Raw genomic sequence first — 16,101 nt, 5'->3', positions numbered from 1 at the left:
AAGGAAAAGGAAAGAAGGAAGGAAAAGGGAAAAAGCTAAGGAAAAAGAGGAGGAAGAAAGAGAAGTAAGAAGAAAGGTCCTTATTTCACAGGGCTTATTAAAATTTAATTGGGGAGCCAAAAATAAATGTACAGAAAAATATAGTTTCATAAAGCATAACTTTTATCTTTTTTGAAACAGAACTGTTATAAAACTTCCATACTATTAAATAGGTACATTATATTCTTCAAAATGAGTTAGTTAATTTTTGAGACAGAGCAGAGTTAAAGTATATGTTTGAATTTTGTACCATCAACACTAATGAGCTCAAAATGTAATTGTGGCACATGAAATAACTTTTTCACTTATTTTTCAAGCAGTCTTATTTTCTTTAAATAATTTTATACATTAAATATATTCTGTCAGTGAAACCTTCTCAGGAAATATATTCAAGGTAAGGGCCAAATTAACATTATAAACAAACAAACAAAAAACCTCTTAGTTCTTGAAAGTAAGTGCTTTTCCCAAGGAGTGGAATCAGACAACTTATTGAAGAAAATGGGATTTTAGTTATGTCTTAAATTATTTTTATTGGCAAAGATAGGTGAAGACCAAAACTCATATACACAAAAGCTAAAAAACTACAATGTCTAGGTGTGCTTTCCTTTTATTGAATTTTAAGATTTATGAGTTGGTATGAGATTGTGGAGAACCTTGGAAGCTAAATTCAGGAGTTTATTAGGCAATGAGGCAACTTTGAAATTTAAGAGGCAAGGAAGGATGAATGACACATGATAAAATATAGATTAGATGGAGAAGTCAGCAAATGATATAAGTAGAATAAATGAAAATTCTGAAATAATCCTATTAGGAATTTTTTGGACACATATTACCTCTTTGGGGATTATGACCCTTTCCTAGCACTAACTTAAACCCAGTAGCCAAGAGCTAGGCATAAAGCATTTCCCTGGAAAGGTATTTCTGACTGATATAGTTTGGCTGTGTCCCCACCTAAATCTCATCTTGAATTCCCACATGTTGTGGGAGGAACCTGGTGGGAGGAAATTGAATCATGGGGGCAGGTCTTTCCCATGCTGTTATCATGATAGTGAGTAAGACTCATGAGATCTGATGGTTATTATAATTGGGAGTTTTCCTGCACAAGCAGTTTTGGCTTGCTGTCATCTATGTAAGATGTAACTTGCTCCTCTTTGCCTCCCACCATGATTGTGAGACTTCCCCAGCCACGTGGAACTGTAAGTCCAATTAAACCTCTTTCTTATGTAAATTGCCAGTCTTGGGTATGTCTTCATCAGCAGCATGAAAATGAATTAATACAGCAAGTTGGTACCAGTAGAGTGGAGGCTGCTGAAAAGATACCCAAAAATGTGGAAGTGACTTTAGAACTGGATAACAGCAGAGGTTGAGACAGTTTGGAGGGCTCATAAGAGGACAGGAAAATGTGAGGAAGCTTGGAACTTCCTAGAGACTTGTTGAATGGCTTTGACCAAAAGCGTGATAGTGATATGGACAATAACAGTCCAGGCTGAGGTAGTCTCAGATGCAGATAAGGAACTTGTTGGGAACGGGAACAAAGGTGACTCTTGTTATGGTTTAGCAAACAGACTGGTGGCATTTTGCCCCTATCCTAGAGATTTGTGGAACTTTGAACTTGAGAGAGATGATTTAGGGTATCTGGTGGAAGAAATTTCTTAGCAGCAAAGCATTCAATATGTGACTTGGGTGCTGTTAAAGGCATTCGGTTTTATAAGGGAATCAGAGCATGAAAGTTCAGAAAATTTGCAGCCTAACAATGTGATAGAAAAGAAAAACCTATTTTCTCAGAAGAAATTCAAGCTGGCTGCAGAAGTTTGCATAAGTAACAAGGAGCCAAATGTTATTCCCCAAGACAATGGGGAGAATGTCTCCAGGGCATGTCAGAGGTCTTCATGGCAGCCCCTCCCATCACAGGCCCAGAGGTCTAGGAGAAAATGGTTTCCTGGGCTGGGCCCAGAGTTCCCTTGCTGTATGCAGTCCAGGGACTTGGTGCCTGTGCCCAAGCCACTCCAGCCGTGACTAAAAGGGGTCAAGGTACAACTTGGGCTGTTGCTTCAGAGGATGGGAGCCCCAAGCCTTGGCAGCTTCCACATGGTGCTGAGCCTGTGGGTGCACATAAGTCAAGAACTGAGGTTTGGGAACCTCCACCTAGATTTCAGAAGATGTATAGAAACATCTGGATGCCCAGGCAAAAGTTTCCTGCAGGACCAGGGCCGTCATGGAGAACTTCTGCTAGGGAAGTGCAGAAGGGAAATGTGGGGTTGGAGCCCACAGACAGAGTCCCTACTGGGGCAGCACCTAGTGGAGCTGTGAGGAGAGGGCCACCATCCTCCAGACCTCCGACAGGTCAATGGTAGATCCACTGTGAGCTTGTAACATGTGCCTGGAAAAGCCACAGACAATGTGAGCCTGTTAAAGCATCCAAGAGGGAGGCTATACCCTGCAAAGCCACAGGGGTGGAGCTGCCCAAGACCATGGGAATCCACCTCTTGCATCAGTGTGAGACATGGAGTCAAAGGAGATCATTTTGGAGCTTTAAGATTTGACTGCCTCACTGGATTTTGGACTTGCATGGGGCCTGTTGCCCCTTTATTTTGGCCAGTTTCTCCCATTTGGAACAGCTGTGTTTACTCAATACCTATACCCTCTTTGTATCTAGGAAGTAATTAGCTCTTTTTTTTTTTTAATTTACAGGCTCATAGGCAGAAAAGACTTGCCTTGTCTCAATGAGACTTTGGACTGTGGACTTTTGAGTTAATACTGAAATGAGTTAAGACTTTGGGGGACTCTTGGGAAGGCATGATTTGTTTTGAAATGTGAGAACATGAGATTTGGAAGAGGCCATGTGCAGAATTATATGGTTTGGCTATGTCCCTACCCAAATCTCATCTTGAATTCCCACATGTTGTGGGAGGGACCATGTGGGAGGTAATTGAATCATAGGGGCAGGTCTTTCCCTTGCTATTCTCATGATAGTAAGTTTCACAAGATCTGATGTTTATTGTAAGGGGCAGTTTTCCTCCACGATCTCTTTTTGCTTGCTGCCATTCTTGTAAGATGTGACTTGCTCCTCCTTGCCTTCTGCCATGATTGTGAATCTTCCCCAGCCACATGGAACTGTAAGTCCCATTAAACCTCTTTCTTTTGTAAGTTGTCCAGTCTTGGGTATGTCTTTATCAGCAGTGTGAAAATAGACTAATACCGTGATAAACCCCACCTCCAACCAGGATGAGCTAAAATGGCTTTCCTGACCATCTGTCCATTCTTTGCAAGGTATCATTAAGACGTATTTAACTGCCTGCCCTCCCTACTAACCTGAAAGCTTTGTGAAAACTACCACCCTAGTTCCAGCAAAGCTTACACTGATTAGATGTGTAATACTTCTTTTCAGTCAGAGATCTTGTCGTTGGGCAAGGTCTGAGACCTCTAAAGAGTAATCTGGAGTCTGCTTCATGTCCGATGGATGAAGCCCATCATACCTCGTAGAAGATATAATAAAGAAAGTACCATGCCTTGCTGCTGCTGAAACACCTGCCAAGAACTCTGATGTGGTGGCATTTTGCCTGGTTTCTTTCCTGGAATTCTTCCTCCCCTAGCATACTTGATTTATATTTTAAAATGAGCCATTCTCTTAATTATTGAGCATTTGTAGAACATCATGTGCTTACAGAGCACTCTAAAATATCCTATAAATTATTTTCATCTATGCATAGAAAGATGATATTTGTGATATATCCATTCTTTAGATGGAAAAACTAGTGAAAAGATTACCATGCTATCATACAACTAGCCAGAAAGGGGGTCATTTATTTGTTTCTTCTCTTAAGACACAACAATTCTCTAGAAATTATAGCTATGAGTTTTGTTTTGTTGCTTCTGTACAGCCTCGGACAGCCTTTCTTTGTCTATCAAAATAAGCAATAGGGAAATATGTGTTTTTTCTGAAACATGTGCTAAATAGAAAGTTCAGAATTTCTCCATTCAGTGGCAAGCTGAGCCTTCAACTACTCATAAATATTGAAGCAATGATTATGTAATACATTAGTTTCAGTAAATACTAGTGAGAAATATATACTATAATACTATAGGCTTTCACTTGACTTTTTTCAAAAGTGTTTTCGTCCCATTTTATGTTTAATATGATACTTTTTGGCAGGTATTTTATTTATTATATAAAATATACCCACCACAAATCTTTAAACTGCCTTGAACCCTGAGTTTCACTCATTCGATCAAAAAAATTATTTCTAAGTTTTTGTAATATGTTCCAGGAAAATAAGTCTATAGCTTTTCTACCCTGCCAAAAAAATATTACATCAGCATTCCCACAATAAATAAAAATAAAATAAAAGTTTTTATTACTTCATAAAATTAACTCTCTCAGCATGTTTTACACACAAATTATTGCTATTCAATAATTACATTTTTTAGATTGTTCAAAAATTTAAAAATGTATATATCTGTCAGTGTAAGTATTGTTTATCTTAAGTTTCACATTACTGTTTAATTTGCATTGTACAGATTTGTCCTCAATGAATGATTTGAATAATGAGATTAACTCTAAACAAAATCAGTTTGGTTTGCTATATATTTAAAGAAATGAACCAATCATCAAAGAAAAAAAACAGGCCAAAAAATGTGTCCTTTTGGTGACTACCCAGGGAACACATTTGGAATTGACTATCCCTTCAATTTCTAAGGCATGTTGCTATTTGCTGAATTTAGTTTTGTGAAAGATGGAATTAGGCTCCACTAAGATTATTCCATACACAAATTCCAGATATATTCAAGACTTCAATGGGTTTTACCCACAAACAAGAAAAATGTGAAAATGAAGTTCAACAACTATTGGTATGTCATCAAAACATTTTTTCTCCCAGAAAGCAGAGTCTACTATGCATGTTATCCATCATTACTGTTACTCTCTGATCCAAATCTGAAGCTTGCATCTTCGTATGGATCTTTTTTCCTTTTGCTTACTTGACATTAAAAAAAAAATCATACCTACATAATAAATAATATGATATTTTTTAATCCAGAGATTTTTTAGAATTACCTATGCTCACTAATTTCTAATTCTAGTCAACTCTTCCCTATTCCTGAAGTAGCATATACTGTATTTCAGCTCAAGAACAGAATCCATTGTTTAGGTTTTCACTTCAAGTCATGGAAATTATTTTAAGAATATTGGTAATCATCCAATTTTTCACAGAATAATATCAGATGTCTATGGCATATATTTTACCTGTAAAGTATTCTGCTATTAGCTAAACAGCTTTTGATAATTAAATTGAAATACATAACTTTATACAAGACTCTTCTTTTTTAAAAAAATATTTATTTTTATTTTTATTTCCATAGGTTATAGGGGAACAGGTGGTGGTTGGTTACATAAGTAAATTCTTTAGTGGTGATTTGTGAAATTTTGGTGCACCCACCACCCAAGCAGTATACATTGCATCCAATTTGTAGCCTTTTGTCCCTCACATCCTTCCCGCCTTTTCCCCCGATCCTCAAAGTCCATTGTGTCATTCTCATGCTTTTGCATCCTTATAGCTTAGCTCCCACTTATGAGTGAGAAAATACAATGTTTGCTTTTCCATTCCTGAGTTACTTCACTTAGAATAATACTCTCCAGTCTCATCCAGGTCACTGTGAATGCCATTAATGCATTCTTTTTATGGCTGAGTAGTATTCCATTACATATGTATACCACAGTTTCTTTATCCATTCGTTGATTGATGGGCATTTGGGTTGGTTCCACGTTTTTGCAACTGTGAATCGTGCTACTATAAACAGGAATGTGCAAGTACCTTTTTCGTATAATGACTTTTCCTCTGCGTAGATAGCCAGTAGTGGGATTGCAGGATCAAATGGTAGTTCTAATTTTAGCTCTTTAAGGGCTTTCCACACTGTTTTCCATAGTGGTTGTACTAGTTTACATTCCCACCAGCAGTGTAGAAGTGTTCCCTGTTCACCGCATCCATGCCAACATCTGCTATTTTTGTATTTTTTGATGATGGCTATTCTTGCAGCTGTAAGGTTGGATTACATTGTGGTTTTCATTTGCATTTCCCTGATCACTCGTGATGATGCATTTCTTTATATGTTTGTTGGCCATTTGTATATCTTCTTTTGAGAATTGTGTATTCATGTCCTTAGCACACTTTTTGATGGGGTTGTTTGTTTTTTCTTGCTAATTTGTTTGAGTTTGTGTAGATTCTGGATATTAGTCCTTTGTCAGATATATAGATTATGAAGATTTTCTCCCACTCTGTGGGCTGTCTGTTCACTCTGCTGACTGTAGAATACAACAAAGTTTCTGGATACAAAATTAATGTATGCAAATTAGTAGCTCTTCTATACACCACCAGTGACCAAGCTGAGAATCAAGTCAACAACCCAACCCATTTTACAATAGCTGAAAAAACACAACTTAGGAATATACCTAACCAAAGAGGTGAAACACCTCTACAAGGAAAACTACAAAACACTGCTACAAGAAATCACAGACAACACAAACAAATGGAAACACATCTCATGCTCATGGATGGGTAAAATCAATATTGTGAAAATGAGCATATTGCCAAAAGCAATCTACAAATTCAATGCAATTCCCATCAAAATACCACCATCATTCTTCACAGAACTAGAAAAAACAATCCTAAAATTCATATGCACCCAAAAAAGAGCCCTCATAGCCAATGGAAGACTAAGCAAAAAGAACAAATCTGGTGGCATCACATCACCTTATTTCAAACTATATTATAAGGCCATAGTCACCAAAACAGCATGCTACTGGTATAAAACAGGCACATAGACCAATGGAACAGAATAGAGAACCCAGAAATAAACCCAAATAATTACAGCCAACTTATCCTCAACAAAGCAAAAAAAAAACATAAAGTGGGGAAAGGACACCCTGTTCAACAAATGGTGCTGGGATAACTGGCAAGCCACATGTAGGAGAGTGAAACTCGATCCTCGTCTCTCACCTAATACAAAAATCAACTCAAGATGGAAGAAGGACTTAAATTTAAAACCTGAAACTATAAAAATTCTAGAAGATAACATTGGATAAGCCCTCCTAGGTAGTGGCTTAGGCAAGGAATTCATGACCAAGAACCCAAAAGCAAATGCAATAAAAACAAAGATAAATAGCTGGGACTAAATTAGAGCTTTTGCATGGCAAAAGATGCTTCTTGCAGTAGAATAATCCCAAATACTCAAGAAGCCTCAAAAAACCACTTACCATGGGACATTTTTTCCTCATATTAATATAGCTAAATTTGTCTCAATGTAACATCCAGTTCTGATTTCTACTATTGCCTTTTGAAATAAATCAAATGTCTTTCTTCAAATAAATACTGACAGACATATGTCTAAACATTCATTCATTCATAAATTAATTCATTAAGCAAATAACTATTCAACTTCTACCCTGTAGCAAGAACCATTTTTGAATAAAACAAAAATGGCCTCTATGCCATCAGAGCTTGCTCTTTAATAAAGCATTTATCTATTTATTATAGGTAATTTTTCTTTGAACATGGTTTTTAGAATGTTAGCATACTTTCTATACTTAGTTTTGATTAATTTTAGCTTTTCAATATTCCTCTCAGAATAAATAAAATTAAGTCTAACCAAATCTCTAACTTTATTACATTATGCTGTATTATTTATATAAATTATTTATATAAATATGACATACTCTAACATATTATTTTACATTGTATAGTATACTTCCCCACTAAAACATACATACATTCAACACAGAATATCAAATCAGTCCACTTCTTATCTGGATGCTGCTTTGATTCATCCAGAACAATGCTCCTAGAAAAACACATTTGGGTCCTTGATGACCACTAGACATGAAGTCAAAATAAATCATTTTGTCTCTCTGAGTTTACATTTACACTTACAGAATGAAATAATTCCTATATTACTTATGGGGTTATGAGGACCTGATTAAAATTAAGTATGCAAATCAATAGATAGATAGTGATATGGTATGGTTCTATGTCACCACCCAAATCTCATGTTGAATTGTAATTCCCAATGTCGAGGGAAGGATCTGGTGGGTGTTGATCGGATCATGGGGGTGAATATCCCCCTTGCTGTTCTCATAATAGTGAGTGAGTACTCATGAGATCTGGTTGTTTGAAAGTGTGTAGCACTTCCGCCTTCACTCTCTCTCTCCCACTCTGCCATGTGAAGATGTCTTTGCTTCCCCTTCGTCCTTCTGCCATGATTGTTAAGTTTCCTGAGTTTTCTGAGGCTTCCCAGCCATGCCTCCTGTAGAGCCTGTGGAACTGTGAGTAAATTTAACCTCTTTTCTTTATAAATTACTGTCTCAGGTAGTTCTTTATAGCAATGTGAAAACAGACTAATATAGATGGATAGATAGATAGATAGATAGATAGATAGATAGATAGATAGATAGATACATAGATAGATACATAGATAGATACATAGATAGATAGATAGATAATACATATAGTGTAAGCTGTAATTTGCTACACAAGTATACCAGTAATATTGTTATTGTTACTATTATTATTCTTACTTTTTTAGGAGTTCCATATATCTCTGACATTAATTTATTTTATATATTGCAATTGTTATTTCCAATTTTTAAAACAAGGGTTTAATTAAAAAATATTTATTAAGTGCCATATACTAACAAATTTAATTATTATATGTGTGGCCTCCTATGCTTCACTTAACACTCATATCAACTCAGTTAAATAATGACTATTATTTATATGACTACACCTATATTTATATATAATGCTTTATTCTCTTAATAAGATTATACAGGATAAGAGCGCATTAGCTATGTTAGAAACCACATCACATTGTTGGCCAAAATGTAACACTATAGCTTTTACTGCTTCTTGTTTTGCTTTATTGATTAATATTAAACACTCACTATAATGTCAGATGTTGCCCTAACCTGTATTTCCACAGCTGACTTTTTGAACTCAAGTTCAGTATTTACTTATATTTTCATTATACTTACATTTGATTATTTCTAGCCATCATTCATCTTGAAATCTTAATTTTGTCCTCAAATATTTCCATTATCTCTCCAAGCTTTGATTATGAATATTTTAATAATCTTTCACTCCACATCTTCAACCAACTTGATGGAACTATAAAAAAGAACATCAGCTTTAAGAAACCCTGACACAGTTCAAAATCCCAGATTAATATTGTCTCACCAATAATGTGGTAAATCCTTTTACCCCTTCAAAAATATTTCTAATAAAATAAAAAATATGACTGGAGTCTGAATAATGAAACAGTAGTAGTTACAGGTGTGTTTGTACCTGTATTCGTCTGTTCTCATGCTGCTAATAAAGACATACCTAAGACTGGGTACTTTATAAAGGAAAGATGTTTAATTGACTCGCAGTTCCACATGGCTGGGGAGGTCTCACAATCATGGCTGAAGGCAAATGAGGAGCAAAGTCATGCCTTACATGGTGGCAGGCAAGTGAGCTTGTGTAGGTGAACTGCCCTATATAAAACTATCAGATCTCATGAGATTTATTCACCATCTCAAAAACAACATGGAAAGACCCACCCCATGATTCAATTACCTCCCACTGGGTCCATCCTGTGACACATGAGAATTATGGGAGCTACAATTCAAGGTAAGATTTGGGTGGGGACACAGTCAGAACACATCAGTACCCTATTTGGTGTTCCTCTGTAAAGAGGGGATGTCTTAGAAATATATGCCTAAATAGTGATTTCCTGAAAGTCTGTGATCTAATAGTCAGTATTTTTACACGGTGAAGCAAATGGTTAGGGACAGAGAGTAGAGGGATAGTTGAGGCATGGTGATGTAGTTTGGCTCTGTGTCCCCACCCAAATCTCATATCAAATTGTAGTCCCCACTGTTAGAGGAGGAACCTTGTGGGAGGTGATTAGATCATGGAGGCAGATTTCCCCTTTGCTGTTCTCATGATATCTGGTTGTTTGAAAGTGTGTAGCACTTCCCCCTTCACTCTCTCTGTCTCTCCCACTCTGCCATGTGAAGACGTGCTTGCTTTCTCTTTGCCCTTCCACCATAATTGTAAGTTTCCTGAGGCCTCCCAGCAATGCTTCATGTAAAGCCTGCAGAACTGTGAGTCAATTAAACCGCTTTTCTTCATAATTCACCCAGTCTCAGGTAGTCCTTTATAACAGTGTGAAAATGAACTAATACAGAAAATTGTACCAAATAAGTGGGGCATCGCTATAAAGATACCTGAAAATGTGGAAGCAGCTTTGGAACGGGGTAACTCAGAGGTTTGAACAGTTTGGAGGGCTCAGAAGACAGGTAGATGAGGGAAAGTTTGAAACTTCCTGAGGACTTGTTAAATTGCTGCAACCAAAATGCTGATAGTGATATGGACAATGAAGTTCAGGCTGAGGTGGTCTCAGATGGAGCTGAGGAACTTATTAAGAACTGAAGTAGGATTACTCCTGCTCTGCTTTAGCAAAGAGACTGGTGACACTGTGTCCCTGCTCTAGAGATGTGTGGAAATTTGAACTTGAGAGAGACGATTTAGGGTGTCAATTGGAAGAAATTTCTAAGGAGCAAAGCATTCAAGATATGGCCTTGCTACTTCTAAAAGCCTATGTTCATTTGCATAAACAAAGAAATGACCTGAAACTAAAACTTATATTTAAAAGGGAAGTAAGGCATACAAGTTTGGAAAATGTGCAGCCTGATCATTCAGTAGAAAAGAAAAAACCCATTTTCTGGAGAGGAATTCAAGGCTGCAGAAACTTGCATAAGTAGAGCCAAATGTTAATAGCCAAGATAATGAGGAAAGTGCCTTCAGGGCCCTAGTGGCAGCCCCTTCCATCACAGGCCTGGAGACCTAGGAGGGAAAAATGGTTTCACATGCCAGGGCCAGGGCCCTGCTGCTGTGTGCAACCTTGGGACATGGCATCCTGCATCCCAGCCATTCCAGTTCCAGCCATGGCTAAATGGGGCCAAGGTACAGCTCAGGACATTGCTTCAGAGGGAGCAAGCCCCAAGCTTTGGTGGCTTTCATGTGGTGTTGGGCCTACAGGTATGCAGAAAGCAAGAGTTGAGGTTTGGGAGTTTCCATCTAGATTTCAAAGGATGTATAGAAATGCCTGGATGTCCAGGAAGAAGTACGCTGCAGGGGTAGAGGCATCATGAAGAACCTCTACTAGTGCAGTGCAGAGAGGAAATGTTGGTGTTGGGGCCCCACACAGAGTCCCCACTGGGACACTGCCTAGTGGAGCTGTAAGAAGAGGGCCAATTTATCCAGACCCCAGAGATGGTAGATTCACTGCTAGCTTGCATCATGTACCTGGAAAAGCCGCAGGCACTCAATGCCAGCCCGTGAAAGCAGCCATGGGGGCTGTACACTGCAGAGCCACAAGGGCAGAGCTGCCCAAGGCCCTGTGAGGCCTGGATGTAATACCTGAAGTCAAAAGAGATTTAAGACTTAAGGACTGACCTGCTGGGTTTTGGATTTCCACAGGGTCCAAGCCCCTTTGTTTTGGCCAACTTCTCCCATTTGGAACAGGAGTATTTACCCAATGCCTGTACCCCCACTGTATCTTGGAAGTAACTAACTTTTTATTTTACAGGCTCATAGGCAGAAGGGACTAGCTTTGTCTCAGATGAGACTTTGGATTTGGACTTTTGAGTTAATGCTGGAATCAGGTAAGATTTGGGGGAACTGTTGAGAAGGCATGACTGTCTTTTGAAATGTGAGAAAGATATGAGATTTGGGAGGAGCCAGTGATATGGTTTGGCTCTGTGTCCCCACCCAAATCTCATGTCAGATTGTAATTCTCAGTGTTTGGAGATGGGGGGCAACTGGTGGGAGGTGATTGAATCATGGGGGTGGATTTCCTCCTTGCTGTTCTCATAACAGTGAGTTCTCACAAGGTCTGGTTGTTTGAAAGTGTGTAGCACTTCTTCCTTCTCTCACTCACTCCTGCCACTATATGAATATCTGCTTGCTTCCCCTTCACCCTTCTGCCGTGATTTTAAGTTTCTTGAGATCTCTGAGTCATGCTTCCTGTACAGCCTGTAGAACTGTGAGTCGATTAAACTTCTTTTCTTCATAAATTACCCAGTCTCAGTTCTTTATAGCAGTGTGAGAATGGACTAATACACACGTGGAACTGACTTTTTTTTATAAGAAGTCACTCATTAAGATTTTAGAGGAAGGGTTGATACAGAAAACCAGTTTAGACAAGGGATGAAGAAATTTTTAAGAGCACAGACAAAGAAGTTATGATGAACTTTCTATGGTCAGAGGCCTAGGATAGGCTTTTACCTTCAAGTTCAGTGAACTACTTCATCTTCAGTCTCCTATAGAACTCAGTACCCTTGTTATTATGGATCTTGCTGTATTGAACCATTTGTATCGGCATGTCTGTACAGAATACATACACACATTAGCATTCAGATACTTAAAGGAGAATACTTTTTGATGTAAAAACAATAGCTATCCAAGAGAAAGAACTCTGTACCTTCAAGACAAAGTAATGTGGTAGAAATACTTTTGCCTTTTGGTTGGGTAGAATGGGATAATCAATAAAATTTAGAATGACCCAAAGTTCACGGCTGATCCACTTCGAGTTATAGCAGGAAGGGCAATGAAGAGAATCAAAAGCTTTAAAATGAGTAAAGCTGATGAATATGAAAATGTGTACCTCTATAATATGTGTATATTTTGCACCCTAACCTGCCATAATTCCAGTAAAATTACCTGTGAACACTAGTTTTCTATAAGGATGAAAAATACTGAACTAAATATTATTCATGAAGGAACATTGCAGAAGAAGAGAAGGAAGAAAATCCCTCACTTTTGGGTCATGGGATTGGTGCAAAGCGTTTCTGTTTGCCTTGTTTCACAACTTCTTTACTCCAGATTCCATTTTTGATTGAGTGGTTATTCACTTAGGCAGCTGTGAGGATAGGGTGGGAATTTTTCTCCTCCCTCCTATGAGAAAATGAGAAGGTAACTTCAGTTTTAATAGTCCCAAAGAAGTCTAGTGTCACTTTCCCCTATATGGTGCTGGTGGGTAGTCTACCACAAATGGACCAGATATTGAACTCAGAGGATAGGCCTTGAAATTTTAGGATGATTTGAGTGTGGGACATTGCTATGGTTTGAATACATTCCCTCTAAATTTTATATGCTGCCAATGTAAATATTAAGAAGTGTGGTCTTCAAGAAGTGATTACTTACATCATGAGGGCTCCTCTCTCATGAATGGAATTAAAAAGCTTTTAAAAAAGTTCCATGCAGTGTTAGGCCTTTTTGCCCTTTGACCTTCTGCCATGTAAGAACACAGCCTTCCTTCCCTCCAAAGGACTCACTGTTCAAGACATCATCTTGGAACACAGAGCAGCCTTCCCCAGATAACAAAACTGTTGGCACCCTTGTCTTGGGCTCCTAACCTCCAGAACTATGAGAAATAAATTTATGTTTTTAATTGTATGTTCTCACTCATATGTGGAAGGTAAGCTATGAGGACATAAAGAGATAAGAATGATATATTGGACTCTGGGGACTCTGGGGAAAGGGTGGGGGGTGACAAGGGATAAAAGACTACAACTGTGTACAGTGTACACTGCTCGGGTGATGGGTGCACCAAAACCTCAGAAATCACCACTAAAGAACTTATCCATGTAACCAAATAACACCTATTACCCAAAAACCTATTGAAATAAAAATAAATTTCTGTTTTTGAACTACCCAATCTCAGATATTCTATTATAGCAACACAAATGAACTGAGATGGGTAAACAGATAAGTATCAGTGTAAAGAGGACGATTACTGAACTCTTATGACCTTGTTAAATATGATAAAATATCCACTATTTATCAGAATTTATTAGAAAATGCTGCAGTATACTTCAATATCTATAGATATACGTATACCTAAATTTTCTGTAGTTTAATAATAAGAATGTTTGAAATCCCATGTGTTGACTTACACATTTTTGAGGCTTTTAGAATACTAATTAAAAGAAAGGTATACCTTTACATCTGTTTAAACTCTTAATGTTTGAAAGAATTAAAAACATAGTCCATTATTAAAAGTTCTAAAATTTTAAGATCAAATACACAAATAGAGTCCAGAGAATAATGCCAAACTGTTCTTCAGCTTTCCTCTTCAGTAAATGGTACAAAATCTGTCACTAAGGAAGGACATTGGGAGATTTCTTCTTTCTTGCTCCCTCTTTGTTTCTTTCCCTTCTTCTTACTACCCTGCCCTCCTCATTTGAGTCCTTCTCTCTCTTCTCAGCCCCTAATGCAGATTTTCTGTGATTCTGTTCCCTTCTGTTTTCCACTCCTTACAGATAAAATGAGGCACTAGTCTTCACGTCCAGCCTGCTGAAGCGAGGGATAAAGCGAACCACTTTTCAAACACATCCTCCTGATGACACGTTTTTGAGACAAATAAACCTTTCTACTGTTACATTGAACCACTTCCTATACCCTTGTTCCATAGGCTGTTTTACTGATAAAGAACAACTTTCTTTTCCACTAATTCCTAAGGTTGCCAAGTTGGTTTTTGGCATAACTCTGGAGCTTTATTCTGATTACAGTGTTTCTGTTCATTTCCTCATTCTTTTCAAAAATCAATTTTTATTATTTCAGGAATCAAGAAAGAAAGTTGAGAGAAAGCAAGTGGAACTCATTCCTCCACAAATACTACACTTGCCCCAAACTAATGACTATGATTTCTTTGTCTATATGATACATGAATGCTTGATTCCATTCTTCATCACATTCTTCAGTGCAATGCCAAGAAAATACTTTAGAGACAGAAACAAAAGGACAGCATAAGTTATAGAGTTATACCTCAAAAAGGACAGTTAAATGATACATTTTGTGATCAAATCCAAGTCCAAGTCTGCCCAAAATAGCTCATTTCCTCTCCTCAGGAAATCAATGATAATTTTAAAATGATAATTAAGTGAGATAAAAAGAGGCATTTTTTTTCTCTGTCACAGTAGCCCATGGCCATTTGATGGCCTGCTCAATCTTAAACCACACCTAACTCTTAAGAATAAGAGTCAGTTGTAGGGAAATAACATCTACCAGCCTAAACACTTTTAGGTTGACTAATCAATGAATTTTCATTCATTTTTTAATAAAAGCATTTTCATATATATTTTTATCTTCCTGCCCTCAGAATATTTATTCAAGAAAGAGTGCATACGTTTTTTATTGCAGTATAACAATTTACCACAAACTTAGCAACTTAAAACAGTCGTTTATTTTCCCACAGTTTCTGTAGGTCAGAAGTCTGAACTCTGCTTATCAGGGTGCATTGCTCAGGATCTGACAAGGCAGCGCTCAAAGTGTGAGCCAGAGCTGTGTCCCATCTGAGGCCCCAGATTCTCCTGCAGGCTAATGTGGTTACTGGAATATTCTTTCTTTGCAGCTGTATAACTCAGTGTGGCTTGCTTCCTCAAAGCCAATAGCAAAGAGTATTTCTTATTCCTGGACCCTTTTTCAAAGGTTCACCTGATTAGGTCAGGCTCACCCAGGATAATCTCCCTTCTGATTGGCTCAAAGTCAGCTGACTAGAGGAATCAAAATTATATCTGAAAAAAGTCCATTTTACGACATAATGTAATTTACTCACAAGACAGACATCCTCATATTGACAGGTTTGATCCACCCTGAAGGAGAAGAGATTAAACAAAGCTTGTTTATCAGGGGCAAGAATCTTATGGGACATCCTAGAATTCTGCCTACCATATGGAGAAAAGTTAAATCATTTTAATAGTTCAGCAGCAGAATTTTAGAGCAATCATTTGGCATTCAAGTGTGTCATATTTCCTAACTGTGAAACTGTTAAGAATGAATTTTAATTTTACATAGATTTATTTCATTCTTCAATTTTAGCATAAGCTCTCTCTTTTCCCCCCTCCTCCATCACTCTCACCCCTCTTACCCAAATCCTTGGTATCACTTATTTTCTCTTGCTGTGATCTCGAGCTGCTGAGACAATCTCCTGAGAGGGCAGGAACACTGGTGTTTTCAGGATCTGGCG

General features: G+C 37.8%; 1 long non-coding RNA gene across 2 annotated transcripts in view; it reads right to left on the bottom strand.

The window, feature by feature from the left end:
* The window catches only part of LOC105379078 (uncharacterized), a 33,914-nt gene extending 18,186 nt beyond the window's left edge, over positions 1–15,728 (bottom strand). Inside the window, exons 1-4 of one of the 2 annotated variants that reach the window (XR_948561.2) lie at positions 15,691–15,728; positions 12,892–13,028; positions 12,360–12,458; positions 9,062–9,194 (exon numbers count right to left, since the gene is read on the bottom strand). This is a non-coding gene — a long non-coding RNA (uncharacterized LOC105379078). Of the gene's footprint in view, positions 1–9,061; positions 9,195–12,359; positions 12,459–12,891; positions 13,642–15,690 lie in introns of those variants that run through there. The other variant, XR_001742803.1, reaches the window with a different exon arrangement.
* Positions 15,729–16,101: the final 373 nt, after the last annotated feature.

The sequence above is a fragment of the Homo sapiens genome, chromosome 5 (assembly GCF_000001405.40).
Source record: "Homo sapiens chromosome 5, GRCh38.p14 Primary Assembly".
Lineage (NCBI taxonomy): Eukaryota > Metazoa > Chordata > Mammalia > Primates > Hominidae > Homo > Homo sapiens.
The sequence above is the reverse complement of the archived record's forward strand: the minus strand, read 5'-3'. Positions and strand labels throughout refer to the sequence as shown.